The sequence below is a fragment of the Homo sapiens genome, chromosome 11 (genome assembly GCF_000001405.40).
Source record: "Homo sapiens chromosome 11, GRCh38.p14 Primary Assembly".
Lineage (NCBI taxonomy): Eukaryota > Metazoa > Chordata > Mammalia > Primates > Hominidae > Homo > Homo sapiens.
Window position 1 is genome coordinate 117,917,411 of NC_000011.10, and position 22,124 is coordinate 117,939,534.

The 22,124-nt window shown below is 51.1% G+C and overlaps 1 protein-coding gene across 4 annotated transcripts in view, besides 6 other annotated features; it reads right to left on the bottom strand.

Annotated features, from left to right (window-relative positions):
• The window catches only part of TMPRSS13 (transmembrane serine protease 13), a 28,762-nt gene extending 16,770 nt beyond the window's left edge, over positions 1-11,992 (bottom strand). For all 4 annotated transcript variants that reach the window (NM_001206789.2, NM_001077263.3, NM_001244995.2 and 1 more), the window contains exons 1-2: positions 11,877-11,992; positions 999-1,428 (exon numbers count right to left, since the gene is read on the bottom strand). In NM_001206789.2, coding sequence (NP_001193718.1) covers positions 999-1,428; positions 11,877-11,897 — 451 coding nt within the window. In that variant the 5' untranslated portion in view covers positions 11,898-11,992. The remainder of the gene's footprint in view (positions 1-998; positions 1,429-11,876) is intronic.
• Positions 2,135-2,234: a silencer, noted in NCBI's record as "silent region_3939". NCBI's record gives its function as "represses an Ori minimal core promoter by ATAC-STARR-seq in GM12878 lymphoblastoid cells {active_cell/tissue: GM12878}" and the evidence as "EXISTENCE:reporter gene assay evidence [ECO:0000049][PMID:35858748]".
• Positions 2,435-2,514: an enhancer, noted in NCBI's record as "active region_5577". NCBI's record gives its function as "activates an Ori minimal core promoter by ATAC-STARR-seq in GM12878 lymphoblastoid cells {active_cell/tissue: GM12878}" and the evidence as "EXISTENCE:reporter gene assay evidence [ECO:0000049][PMID:35858748]".
• Positions 14,675-15,214: an enhancer, noted in NCBI's record as "H3K27ac-H3K4me1 hESC enhancer chr11:117802800-117803339 (GRCh37/hg19 assembly coordinates)". NCBI's record gives its function as "activates a minimal SCP1, AML or CMV promoter by ChIP-STARR-seq in naive H9 embryonic stem cells {active_cell/tissue: H9 hESC(naive)}" and the evidence as "EXISTENCE:reporter gene assay evidence [ECO:0000049][PMID:30033119]".
• Positions 14,853-14,982: an enhancer, noted in NCBI's record as "active region_5578". NCBI's record gives its function as "activates an Ori minimal core promoter by ATAC-STARR-seq in GM12878 lymphoblastoid cells {active_cell/tissue: GM12878}" and the evidence as "EXISTENCE:reporter gene assay evidence [ECO:0000049][PMID:35858748]".
• Positions 15,215-15,753: an enhancer, noted in NCBI's record as "H3K4me1 hESC enhancer chr11:117803340-117803878 (GRCh37/hg19 assembly coordinates)". NCBI's record gives its function as "activates a minimal SCP1, AML or CMV promoter by ChIP-STARR-seq in naive H9 embryonic stem cells {active_cell/tissue: H9 hESC(naive)}" and the evidence as "EXISTENCE:reporter gene assay evidence [ECO:0000049][PMID:30033119]".
• Positions 18,073-18,242: an enhancer, noted in NCBI's record as "experimental_19102 CRE fragment used in MPRA reporter constructs". NCBI's record gives its function as "activates a minimal promoter by MPRAs in K562 erythroleukemia cells, with activity observed for the introgressed 11:117806283 variant allele {active_cell/tissue: K562}" and the evidence as "EXISTENCE:reporter gene assay evidence [ECO:0000049][PMID:34662402]".

Here is a 22,124-nt window from a genome sequence, read left to right on the forward strand (position 1 = left end):
ATGGGGCTCAAAGTCAATTGAATGAATGAATGAATTTTGTCCCATCTGAAAATGCAAAAACTGAGCTCCCCCTGCCTGGCACCAGCAGCGATCTTTTACTGTGCTCTCCTCTGGGCCAGCCAGGCACTTTGCCTGTGTTAATTCTCACAGCAACCTCATGAGCAGAGTCTTATTAGGCCCCTTTCTATAGATGGGGAAACTGAGGTTCGTGGAAGTGAAATCACTTGCCCAGGGTTACTTGGTGAGTTAGTGGCAGAGTAGGGATTCCAGTGCAGTGGGTCTGATACCAAAGCACTTCACCCACCCTGGAGAGGGCAAGGCTGTGGGATGGGCCCCAAACTTCGAGTGATCCTCCAAAGCCACGTATCATCCAGGCCTGTGTGTATTGTGGTGGTGGGGACAGTCTGAATTCTGGGATGGGAGGAGGGCAGCATCGGAGTGGGCAGGAACACTGATTCCTTAAGGGAAGACCCAGTCCCCAAGGCCTATTCAACCTCTCTGACTCCCTAGTAGCTAAACCACACAACCCACAATTTGGAAGGCTGGGGATGGACTTGCACACCTGGTCAGAATCTCTCCTTTTCCTCCCCCACCCACAGATGGGCCCACTGATCATGACCTTGCTCCACTGCAGACCCCAGCTTCTTAGGCAGACCCACAGGACAGCACAAGGAGAGAACCCTGTGACTAACTGGGAGACCTTGCTATTGAAACCGGTGCTCTGACCTGGGTTGTGCAGACTCCAGGGTGACAAGCTGCTTTGTTAGTCCTGGCTTCTTATCACCTACCCCCTTTGCCCCTCATTTTCCACTGTCTCAGGTTTTCATGTAATGTTTCCTTTTTGCCTCCACCCTCAGGTCCCTCACTTCCCACCCCCCTACCTCCCCTTCCCCGCATCGTTGTCTGCTATGAGAGCAGAGCACACTGGCTCTGAGATTTCCTCCCTGCCCATGGGCTGCTTCCCATCTCTCGTGGCTTCCCTACAGCATCCCCCTTACCTGGGCTCTCCCTGGTGGCCCTGGTTGCTGGTGCTGACCTGGCAGGAGATGATCGGATGGGTACAGCCCCCACTGGTGTTGCTCTAACAAGGTACACTCTGGTTGGGGAGGTTGTCACCGAGGCTGACCTGGCGGATGATGACCTGCCGGATGAGGACCTGGAAAGTGATGCCAGAGCCGGAGATGCCCGGGCTGGAGATGCCTGGGCTGGAGATGCCTGGGCTGGAGATGCCCGGCCTGGAGATGCCCGGCCTGGAGGTGTACCAGCTGGAGATGCCTGGGCTGGAGATGCCCGGCCCGGAGGTGTCCCAGCTGGAGATGCCTGGGCTGGAGATGCCTGGGCTGGAGATGCCCGGCCTGGAGGTGTCCCAGCTGGAGATGCCTGGGCTGGAGATGCTCCAGCTGAAGGTGTTCTTGCTGGAGATGCATTCTGAAAGCAGATCGAAGAGTATCCCACAGGCTGCTCCCCTGCCAACCCACCCCAGCTGTCAGCTGTGCTGCACTAGGAGATGAATGCTCTGGGGCAGCAGCTAGGGGTTGAGCAAAGCCCCCCGGACAAGGAAGCATCTGAGAGGAGGACTGTGTCCAAGGATAGAATGAAAGCTCAAAGAACCTGCTGTCCCCCAGCTCCCCTAGGGGCTCCCCTGCCACATAGGACCTGCAGAGATGGGTAGAGGGCAATGGGCCAAGTGCCCGGGGGTTGGGGGTCACCTGCTTAGGCTACGCATGTCTAGGAGGGGTTAAAGGAAGAGGCTGCTGGGTTGGTCACTCACTCTGAGACCTCGTATCAAGGGAATGTGGTCCCCCATGGGGAAAGCAAAGACCCCTTCTGCCCTCTTCCCTTCCACCTCCTACATCCGCATCCTTTTCTTTCATGTATGTGTGTTAGATTATAAAATATTGTTCTTACTATGAGCTGTAATCGCTAGTTAAGCACTAGTTAAGAAAAGCCCTGACCTGCCAACTGAAGGGGCTGAGTGCCATTGTGAGCTCATCTGAGGAGAAAAAGAATGCTGGACAAAGGCCAGACTAAGGTCTTTCCATAACATGGACAAGCCCCAGCTGCAGAAGGCCCTGCCCTTCCCTCCTGGGGTGGCCTGGGCCTCGGCTCCTGCCAGGGATCCTGGCACTGTGGCACCTTCACCAGCCTGCCTGATCTCCTTCCTCTTTTGTGCACACTCTAAGTCTTCCCCAACTTCAGGGGGAATTCCCATAAGCCGGGACAATAAAATACTAATCACTCGTGTGTGTACTGGCACTTTAGAGTTGATAATAAACGTTCACATCTGTGGCCTCACAAGGGCCTCACCACACCCCTGGGAGGTTGGTATTTTGGAAGGCCATTTTACAGATAGGAAAGCCAAGGCTCAGAGCTCATCTTGCAGAATCACAGAGTCAGGGTTCTACCCCATGCCTATTTGTCTCTGAGTCACCTGCCCTTCTTGAGTCAGAAGAGCTTCCTGCACAGTCTTCGTGAACCACGTGTACAGAGTGCTCATTTTGCCTTTGTGAGATTGGTTAAGAATGGGGCCCCCTGGCCCTGCAGGGCCAGGAACACCTTGGGAACCTGGGGATAGGGCTGGGGGTTACCACAGGGATCTTGGTCTTGTGATACTTTCCAGTGTGACCCATAGTGGGGCCCTGTGACCTGCCAAGACCAGGAGGTGCCTGGTGGCCTGGGGCATCGGGGTCAGGTGAGTTTTCAGGTGCTCTGGGTTAGAGAGACCAGGCTGGAATTTGGCCTGCCTCTAAGGCAGCTGGGCGCCCCAGGCAAGTGACTTCACCTCTTTACATCTCAGTCTCCTATCTGTAAGCTAGAGCGAAGCACCTTGCTTCGTGGTACTGAGGTCACAGATCATGCCTGTAAAACGCCCAATACACAGTGAGGGTGTGGTGAGCCGTGTCTGTGATGGAGGGGTTTTGTTTGTTTGTTTGTTTGCTCGTTTGTTTTTTTGAGTCTTGCTCTGTCCCCCAGGCTGCAGTGCAGTGGCATGATCTTGGCTCACTGAAACCTCCGCCTCCCAGGTTCAAGCTATTCTCCTGCCTCAGCCTCCCATGTAGCTGGGACTACAGGTGTGCACCACCGTGCCTGGCTAATTTTTGTATTGGAATCTTGCCCTGTTGCCCAGGCTGGAGTGCAGTGCCGCGATCTTGGCTCACTGCGACCTCTGCTGGGTTTAAGGGATTCTCCTGCCTCAGCCTCCCGAGAAGCTGGGATTATATGCACCCGCCACCACACCCGGTTAATTTTTGTATTTTTAGTAGAGATGGAGTTTCACCATGTTGGCCAGGCTGGTCTCAAACTCCTGACCTCAAATGATCCACCCGCCTCAGCCTCCCAAAGTGCTGGGGTTACAGGCGTGAGCCACCAGACCACACCCAGCCGATAGTGGGGTTTTGTTTGTTTGTTTGTGGGAATGCTGGGCTTGCTATGGAAAAATCTGAATCTGATTGCCTCCATTCCCAACTGCGTTTCCTGGGCAAGCGACATAACCCTTCAGTGCCTGATTCCACATGTGTAAAATGGGCAGACCTTACCTCCTTCCCCCAGATAAATGGGTGATACACATGAAAGAGCCTGGTCTATAAATGTGTGTCAAACCATGACAAAGATAACAGCCCACGAGCACTTTACGGGACCCCATTCCAACCTCTTGACAGCTCTTTGCAGTTGGTATGGTTAGCCTCATTTTATAGATATTGAAACAGAGGTCCAGGCAGGTTAAGAACATGCCCAAATTCACACACCAGGTAAGTGACAGCTCAGATTCTAACCAGGCCTGCTTGGAGCAAGGAGGGCCTTGACCTACAGTGTCACAAACATCCACAGGACCTACCTTCGTCTCTTCAGGGCTCGTATGTGCAGTTTTGCACCATTATGTGATTTGATTCTCACAAGTCTCTCAGTTAGCAAGCTGGGCAGGAATTACTATCCCCAGTTTGTACACAAGGACCCGGGGCTCAGAGAGACGAAACAGCCCACCTCACCCCCTGAATGAGCTGGTGGTCTTTAGGAACTCTAGCACAGTCGTCTCATTCCCAGGCAGCTCAGGCTGTCTCTACCTGAACAGAACCCTCCCATCCAGCCCCAGCTGCCCCATCTTGAAGAGGCCCAGAGGAAAATGGGTGGGCAGGTGGGGGGAGGGAGCTGGGGAAAGCTGTAAAGCTGGAACAGGAGAAGGGAGTCAGACCAGACAGGGAACTGGTGGGGAGGGGGCATTGGTGGAAAGCCAAGAACTGCAGAAAGGGCGACACATCCGAAAGTGGGATGGAGTCTCTGCAGGCCCTGGGTCTGGGGGTATCTAGCTCTGGTCTGGGTAGAGCAAGTGCTCTGCTGTCAGAGCCTGGGAGGCAGGTGGAAAGTGGCTGGACCCCAAGACCAGGGCAAGAGGAGAGTTCTGGAGCCTCAAGACCTGAAGAAGAACTGCCCATGAAGAGAACTACAAGTCCCAACAGGGACATCAGGATGGAAGGGCAGCCCCCAGACCAGAGGAGAGCAGCATCCAGAGTGAGGTCCCCGCTCCACCCCCTGACTCTGACCCTCAACCCAAACCCTCCCAGACATCAAGAAGAGTTCTCATCTTCAGGGATCATCTGAGTAAGAGATTCCACACCAACCTTCTTTAGGCACTTCACGGCCTGCTGCCCCACGCTGCTGGAAGTTCTTCTGGATACCTAACCTGTTATAGCACTAACTCATTTCTTTTCCCCAATTCTTGGAGAACAACTGCTGAGACTCTAGCCTCCCACCGCTGGCCTGATCTCACCCTCAGAGTAGAGGCCTTCAGCAGCTGGGGAATAGGAAGGGGAGGAGACTACTTGTTTGTTTGTTGTTTGTTTGCTTTGAGACAGAGTCTCACTCTGTCGCCAGGCTGGAGTACAGTGGCGTGATCTCGGCTCACTGCAACCTCCACCTCCCGGGTTCAAGTGATTCTCCTTCCTCAGCCTCCTGAGTACCTGGGACTACAGGCACGCGCCACTGTGCCCAGCTAATTTTTGTATTTTTAATAGAGATGGGGTTTCACCATGTTGGCCAGGATGGTCTCGATCTCTTGATCTTGCGCCCGCCTCAGCCTCCCAAAGTGCTGGGATTACAGGCGTGAGCCACCGCGCCCAGCCGAGACTTCTTATCCAAGGTCCCAAGCTACAAGGGGCAGAACCAGGACCAGAACCCAAGCTTCCCAAATCCTGGCCTTTGGCAGTGAGCCGAAGACTCAGAAGTGGAAGTGAAATGACCAACTCCTTGATGTGTCCTGGTGTCTCCACAACCTGCCTGCAGACCAAAGGCTTCTCAGCCTGCTCAGGGGCAGGTGCACAGGGTGGAGCAGGGGAGTGTGGTCAACTCTGAGCCACATCCCTGGCCTAACCTTGCCAACCATTCTTTCCTGACCATGCCTCTCCTCCCCACCTACCCGTGGGGTAGTCTCTGAGGTTACCCCCTGCAGTAACACAATTGTAAGCCCTTACCATGACATGGAACAGGCCCACACCCCAGGCTGTCACTGCTACCACCTGGCTATGCCTCTGCAGCTCCCAAGGGTCCTCACCCAAGGCTTGTTCAGGGCCCTCCAGACGTGTTGGGGCAGGAAGGCAGGGCAGGGGTCCGCAGGAAAGCGGTAAGGGACAAGCCAGGGAGGGCTAAAAGGAGCAGCCCCTGGCTCTGGGAGTCTTTCCAAAGCCTGTCCCTGGACAGAAGTCTATAAGCATTTTTACTCCCACTTTACAGACTGAGAGGTAGAGGCCCAAAACATTTGTGTGCTTTGCCCAAAGTTGTTCAGGCCCATCTCACAGCAGAGGAGGGACTAAACCCAAGGCCCCCCACTTCCAGCCCAGGGGTCTCGACACCACAGCTCCCAGGGTTAGATCCCCCCTGAGGCGAATGGGATGTTTTTCTGGTTTCCAGTTGCAGACTCTGCCCCTTGGGCCGTTACCTGGTGGGGATGGTAGTAAGTTAGCCAGCCCCTGAGTATGTCCAGCTCTTGTCCTCTCCTGGACCTTCTGGGGGCCCAGCCAGTGAGAGAGGGGGCCTGAGTGATGTGGGCTCATGGTTGCTTCATCTCAGTGGTTATGGAGCTGCTGCTGTGGATCGAGCCCCAGGCTCTGCATAATGAGAGTTCTTCAGCCATAAGCAGCAGCCTGAACTTGGGAAATATGCACTTCAGGTCCCCCAGAGCCTGGGCTTGCAGTGTGAACCACCCTATAAAAAGCTCTCCCGCAATTGAACAATGAGAACACTTGGACACAGGATGGGGAACATCACACACCAGGGCCTGTCGGGGAGTGGGGAGACGGGGGAGGGATAGCATTAGGAGAAATACCTAATGTAAAGGACGAGTTAATGGGTGCAGCACACCAACACGGCACATGTATACATATGTAACAAACCTGCACGTTGTGCACATGTACCCTAGAACTTAAAGTATAATAATTAAAAAAAAAAAAAAAAAAGCTCTCCTTCTAGTCCTGAAGAATGTCCAGCAGGGAGCAGTAGCTGCTTCATGGCCTGAGGGCGGGTGCATCAGGGCCCGTTTCAGTCCAGTTTAAGCCAATTGGGCCTCCCTCCTCAGCCCTGGGCCATCCCTTCGTAAAGCTACCACCCAGGGTTGGGCATATCACAGGCTGTCAGAGTTGCAAAGATTCTGAAAACCCTCTAAGCTGGGCGTGGTGGCGCCGGCCTGTAGTCCCAGCTACTTGGGAGGCTGAGGTGGGAAAATGGCTTGAGGCCAGAAGCTGAAGACCAACCTAGGCAACATAGCAAGACCCCATCTCAAAGAAAAGAAAAGAAAAGAAAAGAAAACCTACCCAAGCCCTTTATACTATTGTTGAGGCGATGAAGGCCCAGAAAGGCTGTGTGACTTGCTCACGGACACACAGCCAGGTGGGGACGGTGCCAATTCTAGAACCATGATCTTCTGGCCCCCATCCTTGGGCTGTTACACAACACTCTGCTCTTCCCCTCTCTGTCCCTTACCAGCCTCCATGAGAAAGGACCCTTCCCAGACAGAGGCCCCCGTGGCAGCGTCCCTTTTCCAGTGACCCTGGGCATCAAGGGCGCCCATAGGGTGGGCACGGGCAGACCATGGGCCAACAACCCAGCACTCTGGGCTAGGCAGGAAGAAAAACCCCTCACTAAACCCTTCTGGAAGCACTGGCGGCACTGAGAAAGATCAGGATCTCCCTTTGACAGAGCCTAAAAACCCTCCTTGCCTGTTGGGAACCTGGGGAGCCCTGGGGTTGTGGCAGGGGAGGCCTGAACCCTTCCCAGCGAGGGCCCGGCTGGACTGGGTGACTTTTTTCCCTTTCTCACGGCTAGACCCAGGCTTCACTGTACCTCCAGGTTCCCAAGGCCCTTTCCTACTCTCCCCCTCCCCGAACCCAGAGAAACCCCACAAATACAGGCTCTCCTCAGCACACAGGCATCTTCCCCACCACCTCCTCACCCAGCACCAGCATCTCCAGCACACACGCAGTATACAGCTCAGGGACTTGGGTCAGCCCTTGAGGCAGACTGAACTCTGGAAGGGGCCAGAGCTGCAGGGTCTGCCTCGCCCTGGGGGTGGGGGGCACGGGGAGCCTCGCTTCTGCTCCTAGGCCGCCGTGTGACCTTGGGGACAGTCACATCCTTCTCTGGGCCTCAGCTCCCTCTTCAATAAATTAAGGGTGTTGGACAATCAGCAGTTTTCAAACAGGGTTCCACAGAGCATTTCAGTTTCCGTGGAGGTGCCTTGCAGACCAGCTGGTGGGGACTGTGGTGGGCTCTGAGCCCTTACCCCACCTCAACAGAGAAGACCGACCTTTCAGTTTCATACAGCGGAGTCAACATAACATTCATTTGAACAAAAGAGGCAGCTGCTACAACGAACTTGAAAGGGACTGGCCAGAGTAAGTGCTGAAGTCCCTTCTAGTTTCCGATGCCTCCTGTGCACATGAAAAAGCTCAAGGAATCCCTGTTAGACCAGAATCAAGACGCCTCCTTGTTCATTCATTCGTTCATTCACTCATTCATTCATTCATTTATCAAATGCTGTAAAGAACATGGAGTGCCCACTATTGCCCAGCAAATAATGTTTGATTGCCCAGGAACTTGCTGCCTCAATGTTTCCCTGTGTCTGTGCCTTCTCTTGCTGCCAGTCCTAGGGTAGTGACACACTCAGGGCTGGTACATAATGGGGGCCCCTCTAAAGTTTTGGGTATTGCTTCCCTCCTAGGGAAACCAACCCCCATCTGGTGCTGTCAAGGCCTCCACTTGACGGCTAAAGCCAGGGTTCCCTGTGGTGGCTTCCCTCATGCCTGCACCACCAGTGCCCTGCCCACTTGGCCAGGCACATCCACCCTTGTTGTTGCTATACCAAGAGGAATCTGTTCTGCCAAAACAAGACACTTAAGCTAAGTGGCCATTGTTACATCAGTTGTCCTTCCCACCCAGCTCCCCAGCCCAGGGCCCAATACACACACTCCCGCACGCTTACGCTCACATCTGCCAAGTCTCAGGGGACAATGCAGGGGAAATCGAGGTGGCTGTGCCAAAGGAAGTCTGCTCCTCACCAATGACAACATGAAACAGAGGACAAGGTGAGGGCTGCACACCTGCAGGGGCACAGGGCAGGTACCAGGGTCCTTGGAGGACGAGGTGAAGGCTGCACACCTGCAGGGGCATAGGGCAGGTGCCAGGGTCCTTGGAGGACGAGGTGAGGGATGCACACCTGCAGAGGCATAGGGCAGGTGCCAGGGTCCTTGGAGGACGAGGTGAGGGCTACACACCTGCAGGGGCATAGGGCAGGTGCCAGGGTCCTTGGAGGACGAGGTGAGGGATGCACACCTGCAGAGGCATAGGGCAGGTGCCAGGGTCCTTGGAGGACGAGGTGAGGGCTACACACCTGCAGGGGCATAGGGCAGGTGCCAGGGTCCTTGGGGTGCCTGGGGCTGGGATGGGGCTGGGACACGGCATGGCAGAGTGACTTGACCCGCGGGTGAGCCATCTCAGGAACTGCCCAGCTCCTCTGGAAAGGGTGCCTTATCCTGGACCAGCGGTGGGCCCCCAGACGGTTCTCACCAATCCCTAGCACCTGTGGCCTTGGGCTAATTTGGAACCTGTTCCACTTGAAGAAGGCCCAGTATAAGAAAATCCACTCCACAAAGGAATGTTGCTTCATCAATGGGTCTAATTCAGTCTTTCTTTAATAAGCATTGCACTGCTCTGAGAATTAAAAATGAGAATTGAAAAAGCACAAAATACGCATTGTCAAGAACAAATCTGGTGTGGCGCACCTGTCATCCCCGTTCTATGTAATTCCAGACTGTCAGGGAGCCAGAAAGGAGCCTCAGGGGGGAATGTGTCCAACCCTCTTCTTTGGTGGGGAAGCTGAGGCACAGGTAGAAGAAGATGTTTGTCCAAATTTATAGGAGCCCACCCCAAATTCTAGGCAGTGATGATAAATTTCAACATTCTCTGACTCCATCTCTATCTATCTATCTCTATCTCTCTATGCCAGATGCTATTCTAAATGAGCCTTACTATGGGAAGGACACTATTTTGAGACTCCTTGAGGTAGGTATTATTAAATTAAGCTTAGCCTAAAGCTGCCTCCTTACATATTTTAAGTTCGGATCAAAAGGTTTCTCTGTACATAATGAACTATAACTCAACTGGACGTGTAAACAGACTGTAAACTACTCTTGTTAACAATCACCAATTTTGCACAATCAAAGGCAGCCAACTGTTCAAACAGTGTTCAAATAAGGCTATTTCTGTACCTCACTTCCTTTTTCCATACACTGCTTGCCTTTTTCTGTCCATAAATCCTCTCCGACCACGCAGCTGTGTGGGAATCTCTCTGAATCTATTCTCCTTCGGGGGACTGCTCCATTTGAGAATTGTTCTTTGCTCAATTAAACTCTGTTAAATTTAGTTTGTCCAACATTCTTCTTTTGAGAGTAGTATTATTATTCCATTTTACAGATGAAGAAACTAAGGTACAGAAAGGTGAAGTGGCTTGCCCAAAGCTGACGGGGAACATGGTCAGTTCTCTGTCCACCACGACATGCAACTTTCTTTTGAATATGAGAAACTGAGACCCTTCTCCACCTCTTTTCCAAGATCCCTCTGAAGATCCAGCAGCTGACAGAGGAGTGCCATCAGGCTCAAGCCCACTGGCCACCATCTTCCTCACGACATTTTGGAGTTGAGGGACAGAAATCACAATGCATCTCTCTGCAATAAAGCCCTCAAGGAGAAGGCACAAGCTCAGGTGACCAGCTTCTCCCAGACCACTCCTATTTAATCAAGGTTAAGAAACCTGCTGCAGATGGGAATACGAGCCCCAACTATAGGCTCACTCTCTCAGAGTTCCATCTTAAATAGGGGAGTGAAGTTAAGAACCTTAAATAAGAATGTAATGATTCCATTCTTCCATTCCAAGGTAAGTTTGGACAATCTTTTTTTCAGAATGAATATGGCACCTATCATAATATTTGACACTTAATTCATAGATTAATTGGGAGTTCCTCAAAGAAGTCTGTTCTCTGTCCTGTATCCCTCCAGCAGCCTTCATGTTGATCCCTGACTCTGAAGAGATGAGCTTCCTGGGAAGATATCGCCCCATCACCCTGTCTCAGGGATGGACTATCCATCTCCAGTGGGAGCATGGCCACCCTCCGGATAGCTCAGCCCTTCTCACTCTTGGGTTTAGGGACCATCTAGTTTAGGCTCCCAGCATATTGCCAAGGAGGATGCCCCATGGCTGTGACTAAGGGTTCACCTTCTGCATGCCCTTGTGTACCCCCCTTACTGCTCAACAGTAAGAGGCTCTGATAACCCCCCAAGGCCTAGGGCCAAGTGACTTTGGTGAGGTAGAGACATGAACGAAGGAGCCCAGAGCAGAGGGCAAGGGAGGCAGCCTGGGAAAGAAAAGTCAAGAGGGGGCTGGAAGAATGGTGGGAAAAAAATGATGGTAAAGTTTGCAGAAACACATTGGGGGTGCAGAATGGACCACAAGCCAACTATAAGCCAAAACATAGGATGAGCTGATCTTTCCCAAACCCAGTGCTAGCCCATTCTTCCCAGAGTCCCAGGCTCTACCATGTCGGTAAGGTACAGAGAATTTGGAGGGGGCAGAAAACAAGACCTAAAGGAGAAATGAGAGCACAAAAGGGATTTCCTGGAGGAAAAGAAAGTGGAGGCACAGCAGAACAAGATCTTTGGAAGCCTTCATGTGTGTATGACTGGCTTTCCCACAGAGGACAGGCCAGCTGCTTTCTCCTACCCCAAGAGCAGCAGAAGAAAGGAAGTTGAGTGGTAGCAGGACTTGTGGTTAAACATCAAGAAGCACTTCCCAAGCATGAAAGTTATTAAGTCCAAAAAGAAGTGACCAACGGAGGTTGAAACATCCCCTTGAAAATCTTGAATGCACCCAGAAAGTCACAGTTTTCTGGGAAGGTTTAGGAGTGTAGTGAGGGGTTTAGACAAGATGCCCCTGAATTGCAGTTAGAATGCTTTTGATTTTCCAACCAGCAAAAATGAGATTAAAGTAGATTAGCCTGGATTCCCAATCGGCAAAGTTGGTGCTGTAACACTATGGATGCCCGGCAGGAGTGCTCACAGACCACAGAGCAGGAAACCCACGACTCAGCCACATAGCCCTGGGGTGCTCACCAGCCAGACCCCAAATCCCAGCAGCTTCTCCTCCCAGGGGCTTTTTCTAGAACCACGTTAAAAGGAGACCAAGAGATCTTGATCGTAAGTAGCTTCAAACTAGAAGAGGCACAGCCAGTTTCCCCCAAACCTGAAACACAGAGGTAGCTGTCCCACCTGTCTCCCAGCCTCAGCCCTGCTTCCTCAGCGCTGGGAGAATCTGGCCCGAGGCCTGAGGTCACACTCACCCCGTGGCTGTCCCTCTCCATGGTCTCTGAGGGGAAGAGTCCTCCAGGCTTAGCTGATGTCGAGGAGAAGATCCATCTTGGTCCCTGGCTTCTCAGGCATGTAGGGTAAAGGAGTTGGAGGGCCAAGGGCCAGCCCCCACCAAATGGGGCGGGGAAGCCGGTTGGGACGTGTGAAGTAATCCCCAGTATAAACAACACAGAACTAGCCAGACCTGTTCCTCTGCCCCTCATCGAGGCCATCCCAGTTACTCAGCGAATACCAAATTCCAAATACCGGGAACCTGAAGCTGCCTTTACTCATGAAACTGCCCCCACAGAAGCAGAGGAGTGTTCTGAGCTACTTCTTCAGAGGGGCCCTGAGAGAAAGGGCAGAGCCTTGAGAGGATGGTCTTGGTCCTGTTGACCTGAGCCCCTGAAACAGATGCTCCAGAGCCTTCTGAGGGATGACCCTATCCCCACAGGGGACGTTCCAGGCCAGGGGCAGAGCCCCACCTATGGCAGGACAGTGGGAACCTTCATCTCCAAGGACCAGGTGTCCAAATCCCAAATCAGGGCACATGGTCTCTGGGCGCATGGTCTGGCAATTGCTTTCTCCTGAACTCTGTTTGTTTTTATGAAACTCTTAACAAAGAAATGAAAATCAAATGACCTTTAATTATGCACATCATGAATTGCCCTCTATTGAAAACAATAAAGTGCCAGAAGCAACACATCAAAGTCAATGAAATAAAACATAACTATCTGAATGGAAACTGTTCCAAGAAACATTGGGCTGACTCGTGATCCCAAACCTATACCCTATTCTGATCCTCAGAGTCAAAAGAAGTAAAGGAAGGGCTATTGCAAAAGGAGTCCTTAGCACCTCCGGCTAAGTTCCAGCTGAGCTGCTGCTGAGAACTGCAAAAAAAAAAAAAAGAAAAAGGAGTTCCTGTTGAGGTTTGGGAAGAACTTTCTTGAGCATTCAGAGGCACCAAGATTTTTAGAGTTTGAAAGAAGCTCATGGATCTTTAGTGGTTCACTCTTTTCATTTTACAGACTGCGAGACAGAGGGCCAGAGAGGCTAAGGAATGTGCTCAAGTCACACAGCAAACAACAGCAGCAGCAATAATCTTAAGATGCCAAGAATCCTGCGAAACACTTCACACGCATCCTTCACGTGTTCATTCAACAAATATGTATTGAGTGCCTGGCATTGCTTTAGGTGCTGGGGACACAGGAACAAAATAGGCAAAGCCTCCTGCCCTGTGGCTCTAGTATTTGCGGGTTGGGGGGAAAAAGCAGACAAAAATCAATAAATCAGTTACACAGCCTCCTAGAAAGTGAAAAGTGCCGTTCACAAAAACAAAGCAGCGAAAGGATCCAGAAGGTAGGGGAGGCAGAGTCCTGGCAGTTGGGAACAGGATGGTCAGAGAGGGCTCTCTGTGGTGACATATTTGAGCAAAAACTGAAAGGAAGTGACTACTATCGCCCCCCATTTACATTCAAGAAAACGGAAACTTCTAGCTCACAGTGGAAACTGTGCCCCAGCTTAGGGTGTCTTGAGGGAAATCTAACCCAGAGGCAAGAGGCTGGAGGAGAGAACTCTGGAGGGCCCAGGCAGGGACCCTAGAGTTCTCTCATCTTGGCTTATTGTGGGAGCCACTTCCCTGGCTTTCAAAGAGAGCAGAATTCAGCCACAGGCCACATCCCCTTCCTGCCCCATCCACCAGCCCACCATGACAAAGGGGCCCCTCCCATCCATCCTCCTGAGAAGATACCCACCTCCTGTCCTCAGCTGCTCCTCTTCCCTCTCTCCCAGGGAGGAGCCCAGCCCCTCTCTGGCTGCCACTGAGCCCTGGCACGCCCAGGCCAGATCCGAGGGCCTCCACTTCATCCCCCAGGCAGGCCACTGGTCTCCGAAGGGCACCCTCAGCCTCCTTCCCTGAAGGTCCCACCAACCTAGGGAAAGAGCTCAGGCTTGGGGGTCTGGGCGAGTTCGGGGGAATGAGAACCCTAACTCTGAGGGGAACTCGCAAGGCCTGACAGGTTCACCATCGGGAAAATGAGAACACATAGAACCAGAGGAAGTGCCTGGCACGGGGCACAGGGCACTGGGAAGGCTGGGAAGGAACATCAGTTTCACCTCTTGCTCTTTTCCTTGGTTTGCATCAGAGACACAAGTTGGCCTGTCCCAGAGTCCTCGCTGACAAAGCAGTCTGACCCGTGTGACATCCCCACCAAGGGCAGTTCAGTTCAGCAAGGATTGACTGCTCAGCACCAGGCCCACGGTGGCTGCTGGGGAGTGAGAGTGGTGGGCAAAGAACAGAAAGGCAGGGGCCCTGCCCTGGGAGAACACACAGTTGATGTGTTGGGGCGGGTGGCGGGGGGACACTGAGGAATGAAATTCCTAGCTGGTGGTTTTCCTATTTTCAGAGTGAAGGCGCTGCGGCAGCACAAGACCTGGATGCTTCCCCCACAGAGCTGGACTTAGAGGCCTGCACCGCTTTTGACTTCCCCACTGACCCTGGCCTGGCCCTTTCCTTCCCCCTCCTCCCGGCCTCCTTTGCTGTCCTCCTGACTGTACAATCCCAGGCTCTCTCTGACTCCCACCCTTTCCTTTGCCTCCTTCTCTCTGGCCTTGGTCCCTGGCTTTCTCCCTTCAGCTCCCTGGTTGCCTTCTGGAAAGACACCTGCCCACCTCTGGCTACTCCACACCCAGAGGCTATTGGCAGCACCTGGGACCCACCTTCTGCTCCCTCAACGCCCCAGGGAGAGTGTAGGCCAGCCATCAGGCCCATTTGTACCCTGGTCATTTCCTACCTGGGTCATTTCCATGTGGAGTGAAGGGAGTTTTACAGAAAAATGTCAGCCATGCAAACAAGCACACATCTCCTGGCAGCTGTCCAGGAGAGTGAGGTGTGAGAAAATCTCACTACTGTTTTGAGACTAAACTCCTAGCTCTCTGCTTCCATGGCTGTTCTAGCTACCACTACCCCAGTGCCTTGGGAACTCCTTCCTGAGGCTCCAGCCTGGGAAACAGAGCTCTGGGCCTTCTATTCCCAGCCTTGTTATCTTCCTTGGAGTTCCCACCTCGGGCCCATGTTCCTCCCTCCTGAGCCTATCAGCAGCTTCACCCCTGAATCACCTCCCAACTCCCTGCTTGGAGCCCTTGCCTACCCTTCCCCACTTTGCACCCCGCTTCTGAGCTTCTCCACCACTCTTGGCACAATAGGTGGGTTTCCCTCCAGGCCTGAGGGCAGCCAGGAAACCAACTACATACTTAAAGACTCAGTGTGGCAGAGGGGAGACACTGGGTCCACCCTCAAGGGGGTGAGTCACCAGGAGCCACCCCTGGGCCCAGCACACCTAACGCTCCTATGGTCTGTACTGCCCCACCCCCCAAGCCCAGCAGTCTTCCCAGCTGCAGCCCCAGGCAGGTCTCTTCCGCCCCCACTTAGCCTTCCAGGGCCGTCCTGGGTCCCTCCAGGCTGTGGTCCTAGCCGTGCCTCTCCCCACTCCAGGCCTGCAGAGGTTGATCGCCATTGAGTTCTGTGGACTAGAGGCTGGTTCTCTCTTCCTGCTTTTCCCTTGGGGCTGGACATCAGTGATCAAGTGAGGCACTTGCCCAGGCTGCACAATTTAAGAGCGTGCCCAAATAATCAAGATAAATCATGTTTTAATGAAATATTTTTAAAATCTGCATTAACGGGAAAAGTCCAAGGTGAATAAAATATCAGAATTTTAAGTAAAGACAGGATCAGCTTTCCATCTGGATTTTGTCTCCCCCTTTTATTACTCACATGTTAGCAGGGCCCCATTTCCCCTCGTGATTATTCCTTCTACTTTCTGCAGGATATTGTCCCAGCTGCTCAAAACATCCAGGCCAACCAAGAGCAAGGAAGGCCTCTTCCCAGGGGGTGAGCTCCCTCTCTGCACAGAGCAGACCTGAGCCCTAGAGAGCTGTTGTCTTCACTGTGAATTTCCACCCTGAGTTCCTTCTTTTTTGTGCCGTATTACTTCATTTTTGGTCTTCCATGAATCTGCATGGCTTACATGTTCTTTGTTGTGGCTGAACAGGAGTCCTCAGAATTAAGCAAACTGGTGCCTGCCTGACCATTTGTTGAACATGGCACTTGCTACCAATCTGTTCTAAGATTTGTTTTTTTAAATTAACAATGCATCAATAATAAGTTAACAATTAAATGAAGGCTGACAAATGTGCACACCTGTGTAACCATTATGACAATCAAAATCTAGAACATCCCCATCACCCCAAAAAGTTTCCTCCCACCTCTTGCAGTCAATTCTCCACCCCATCCCAGCCCCAGACAATCACTGATCTGCTTCCTGTCACTAGAGGTTAATTTTCCCTTTTCTGGAATCTCATCTAAATCTCCCCTAAGATTTAATGCTGAACCCTGAGCGCAGCCCAGCCGCGCCACTGCCTCAGGACTCACATCAGGTGCTAGGTCATCCAGATATGATAAGAGGAGGCCAGATCATGTGGAGAGATTTTTTTTTCAAGCCAAGAGAAAACAGCCCATGAGTCCATACCGAGTCCCTGGTCCCCAGCTAGCCTCTCAGCAGCTCTAAGGGAGGCTCTCAGGGGACTCTGCTGGTGGGGCAACTCTAAGGTTCCCTATTTCCAGCAGATACTGGGCTTCTCCCCTGGATAAAGAGGAAAGAGGAGGGAGAAAGGACTGGGACACCCGAAGGGGAGGCCAGAAGATAAGTGTGGGCAGGAAACCAAAAGACCACCTGATGACTCCCCAGTAGGCCTGTGGTTCAGACAGTCTAGGATCTTAAACGCAGGGGCCCCAGGGTTTCTCTTAGTCATGGAGTTTACTGCCCCTTTGTGTCTTGTTCAGGGCAACAGGGGGCAGAGTGGGACAAATCCCTGCTCTTCTTCTGATAATCGGCATTCCTGTCATTGCATGATCCACACCCCATGATTAAAGGCTGGGTGCAGTGGCTCACGGCTATAATCCCATTACTTTGGGAAGTTGAACTAGGAGGATCGCTTGAAGCCAGGAGTTTGAGACCAGCCTGGACAAAGTGAGACACTCTCTACAATCAATCAGTCAATCAATCAATCAGTCCAATTAGCTGAGGGCAGTGGTGCATGCCTGTAGTCCCAGCTGCTCAGGAGGCTAAAGTGGGAGGATCCCTTGAGCCCAGGAGTTTGAGGCTGCAATGAGCTATTACACCACTGCACTCCAGCCTCGGCAACAGAGCCAGACCCTGTCTCTAAAAATAAAATAAAATAAAATGAAATAAATCCATGATTAGATGGGATAAAGTAGGTAAGAAGCCTCTGGCAGGACCCTGGTAGTCTCAGTCAAGTTGGCCCCTACCCCCTTGAAGAATGGGCAGTGGGCAGTGGAGGAGGCTGCCCCTGCCCTCCAGGACCTCCCAGGCAAGAGCAGCCGAGCCCTCTCAGGTGGACCCTCTGCAACACCCCTGCCTGGTGGCTGCCCGGCCCGTGCCCAGATCGCTCCATCTGGGGATAGTTCTGACTGACTAGGCACCACCTGTTTCCAAAGAAGGATTTGACATAGCTGCTTTTCCTTGTAATTCACCCCAACCGTGTGTCTGTAGCTCCTTGTTCCCCTCTGTGGGGACCCACAGCAGAAGTCAAATCCCACTTCCCCAAGACAGCCCTTTTCACACTCGAGGGCGACAGCTCGGTGATCCTCTGCGTCTGCACTTTTCCCACCTGTTCCTTCGCTTGCTCCTGCTGTGAGGTGGTTCCAACCCCTCCCTCAGCGAATTTCTCCAAAACAAGGCCCACGGGCCACAGCCCTCTTGAAGTGCCGGCCACAGCCGTGTTTACACGTGCTTATTCTGACTCTTTACATAAAACCCACCGTTGCTCACTGGAAATACCCAGTGGGCTGCTGCTCATTTTTCCACAGAAATGAGGCAGCTGCAGACAGACCCGTGATGCTGACAGACAGGGCTTAAGCCTGGCAGGGACAAGCATGGGTCCCACCCGCACACATTGGAGCTGAACATTCACAGAGCGGGTGAGGGTGAGAGTTGCTGACTACTGTGACCGCAAGAATCCCACCTTCAGACGGGACCATCCTTAACTCCCCTCGAACCATCTGAGAAGGCTTTCTCGAGTAGGAGGTGAGATTCCAGAGGCTACACAAATGACAGAGAGACAGCCTGGTGTTCTAGGCTGCCAGGAGGCACTTGACAGGCCCGGGAAGGGGACATTCAGAGCGGTGAGTGTGGAGTGGTTTGTAGAAGGGACTTTACGGTCAGACAGCTGTGGAATCACAGCTCTGCCGTGTACCGCCTCTATGTTCCTTGAGCAAGCTAATGGCCATCTCAGAACCTCAGTTTCCTCATCCACCAAATGGAGATAATGATTCCTCGTAGAGTATTTCTGTCCATTCAGTGAAATCATTTGTATAACACATTTGGCACAGGACCTGGTCCCTAGTGCCCACATATGATTATACACACACACACACACCACTACACACACACACACACACACACACACACACACACATACACGTATAGACTATACGTGGTCATGGTTTCAACAACAAATAGGACTCTGAGCAAAATATGTGCTTTTTTTTTTTTTTTTTTGAGACAGTCTCACTCTGTCACCCAGGCTGGAGTGCAGTGGCACAATCACGGCTCACTACAACCTCAACCTCCTGGGCTCAAGCCATCCTCCTACCTCAGCCTCCCAAGTAGCTGTGACTACAGGTGTGGGCCACCATGTCCAGCTAATTTATTTATTTATTTATTTATTTATTTTTTGTAGAGATAGGGTCTGACCTTGTTACCCAGTCTGGTCTCAAACTCCTGGCCTCAAATGATCCTCCCACCTTGGCCTCCAAAAGTGCTGGGATTACAGGTGTGAGCCACCGTGTCTGGCCAAGATCTGTGCTTTGGATCTGAAGTCCAAAGAGAAGTGTCCTTTGCTAGAGATTTGGTGGAATAAGATCTGGCCTAAGACTTCAGACCTGGGCTTTTGTTGAGATTGTTACTTCCTCCCAGCTGACCCCTGGACCACAGCTTTCTCATCTTAAAAAGTGAGGTCCTTTTCAACCCTGGAGAGACTAGAGGTCTCCAAGTAGGACGATTTGGCACAAAAGAAGGAAGTCAACAAAGGTAATCAGGTGATCTGGAGCTCCTTGTCAAAGAACTGTGAAACAGAAAATCTGAGGGGGAGACACAGAGTCACAGTTTGAGAAAGAAGAAAATGCCCCTCAGCACGGCCCAGAAAGATAGGAACAGAAGAATGGTCAAAACCAGAGGGAAGGCAAAAACAGGTGCAAGATGCAATCAATAAAAACTATAAGGAGAAACGACATTTTTTTTCATGGATAAAAATAAAAAGAACACCAGGAAATAATAACTCATATTTGCAAAGTGCTAGCCCATATATATTATTTCATTTTGTCCTCTGAGCACACTCAAATATAGTTCTTATTACCCTCTTCATCTTCCAACAAGGAAGCAAAGACACAAAGAAATACACTTCCCAGCGTCAACAATTCATGAAGGATGGAGCTAATTCTCACATTCATTACATTGATTTGTTCTAAAGCTATGTTTTCTGTCTCCACATCTATGTTCTTACCATAACAGTGTCAGCTGGCACAGAGAGGTATAATGAGTCATTGTATTTTAAAATGTTCTTAATGTCAGTCTACTGTTTTGATAATAAAATTTAAAATGTTAAATCGGTACATTCTTGTTAGAACCTTTATCTATTCTCTTTACAACTCACAGTATTTGAAAAGAAATACTTGATTTTGATGCCTTTCTTTTCCCAGTTTCATTTCTCAGCTGCTTCAGACAGATGTGTTTTTATCCGAGCAGGTGATGAGTGTGAAGTCACCGAAGGTGAACTCCTGCAGGTCCCCAGATTAATCATGCTGTGTTTTGTCAACTGTCACCCAAAGACAGACACTTATATTGTTTGCTCAGTGAAAAGGAAATTTTATGCATTTTGATTTTTTTTGCTTTTCGAATGTGAATCATTTAAGAAGCATACAAAGTTACCCAGACTTCAAGCCTAGTTAACGTAATAAATTTCAGATCTTTGAGCATGCAGCTACACGATTTCATTTCTTTTATAGTATTTTAGAGTTTGGAAAGAAAACAGAGCCTTTCTGCTTTTTCAGCTTTCAAAAGACTTTTCTGCTTAGAACAAATTCATCTAAAGGAATATGATCTTTTTTTTTTTCTGTGCACATAGAAAAGTGGAACAAACTCCAAGGTCATTTCCTAACCCAAGTGTTACACTCCTGCTGTAGCTCTCGGGAGGAGACTATGCCACTCTGCATCCTTTGACCTCACTTAATCTGACTTGGCCCTGAGTAGAGAAGCTTATACACACTGAGTCAGACCCACAGGCAAACAGGACCAGGAGGCTGTCTCCAGCAGACGACATTTAGTGATATCTTCCAGTGTGATATTAAGACTTGTAATATCACATTCCCTTCCTTTATCTCATCTGGTCCTCAGGACAATCCTCCAAGGTACATAGGACAAGTAACATTCTTGCTAAAGCCCAGAGAGGCTGGACAACCTGCTCAAAGCCACAAGGCTGGTGGCTTGGCTGAGCCTCGCAGCAAAGTACCTCCAAAGCTATGCCCTTTGCAACATTAATGGTACATTCCAGACAGCCTCAGGGTCCCTTCATAGCTATGATAGATACAACATTCGTGAAGATATGAACACTGGGGCTGGGCGCTGTGGCTCACGCCTATAATCCCAGCACTTTGGGAGGCCGAGGCAGGTGGATCACTTGAAGTCAGGAGTTCGAGATCAGCCTGGCCAACATGGTGGAACCCCGTCTCTACTAAAAAATGCAAAAATGTTAGTCAGGCATGCTGGCACGTGCCTGTAATCCCAGCTACTTGGGAGGGTGAGGCAGCAGAATCCCTTGAACCCGGGAGGCAGAGGTTGCAGTGGGCCGAGATGGCGCTATTGCACTCCAGCCTGGGCAACAAGAGTGAAACTCCGTCTCAAAAAAAAAAAAGATACGAACACTTCCCTTGAACCTGTCTTTATTCCCAACCTGTAGCACTTCTTCGAGGCAACACGTCATGGCCTACGCCCAGCCCTGGGTTGGCTACTCCCCAGAAGTGGAACCTTGGTCAGTCACTTCACTTTAGTTCTCTCAACTGTGATCCAGCAAAGATGTGTCTGCTCTGCCTGTCCCTTAAAGATCAAGTGATATGTGAGATGGATCTTGGGGAACTCTGAAGTACTATAATGACATTGGACATTCTTACTGTAAGTTTAAAACTCTCTGCAAACAGATCTCCCTACCTTTGTCTTCACACAATACTTGTGAGTTCTAAGACGCTCCTCTTCTAACCTGTCAGAATTCAGTTCGGCCTTGGAGGATTTACAGATTTCTATTGTTTTCCTTCTCAGCCTTAGTTCTCCCAAACTGAGGCGTTATGATATTTCTGGCAGCTCCTGACAGAGCCCCTGTAACCATAAAAGCACTGAGTGAGGGGCATAACACAAAGAGAGGAAAAGGTTTCCAGCTGAATTCCGAAATTCTCCCTGAAAACATCCAGATTCCATTGGTCTTTTGGGCTATGGCCACCTTGGACCGCCCACGAGTAGGCTGCATTCAAAATTGTCTATCATAATGCCAGGACCCCTTCCTTGAGTCAGAATGTCTGGCTCAGGACCTGTGGCCCTAAAGAGAGTCATGAAGCATTTTGCAGAGATGTTCTCCCTTCCATTTTAGCAAATCAAAACCCACTCCCTCAGCCCCTGAATCCTGCTTAGTTTTTACACATTCCATAAACAATTACTTACAGTGTAACTGTCATGTTCCAAATACTGCTCAGGCCACTAAAACAGAGCAGGAACAGCCTGACTCTGTGCGTGTCCTCATGACCTTCGTCTTCAGTGAGGAACCTCATGCCCCTTTATGCTTGCCCTCCTCACCTTGGGGCCTTGCTGCTAGAAAAATGATTGCCAATGTTTATTGGAGCCTCTTTATGTGCAGTGTCTTCATAGCAACCTCATGCATAGATATTTTTATTCCCATTTTACAGATGAAGAAGAAACCAAGGCTCAAAAAGGGTAAGTAGCTCACACCTGTAATCCCAGCATTTTGGAGGCCGAGGCGGGTGGATCACCTGAAGTCAAGAGCTCGAGACCAGCCTGGCCAACATGGCAAAACCCCGTCTCTACTAAAAAAACAAAAATTAGACAGGCCTGGCGGCATACGCCTGTAATTCCACTACTCGGGAGGTTGAGGCATGAGAA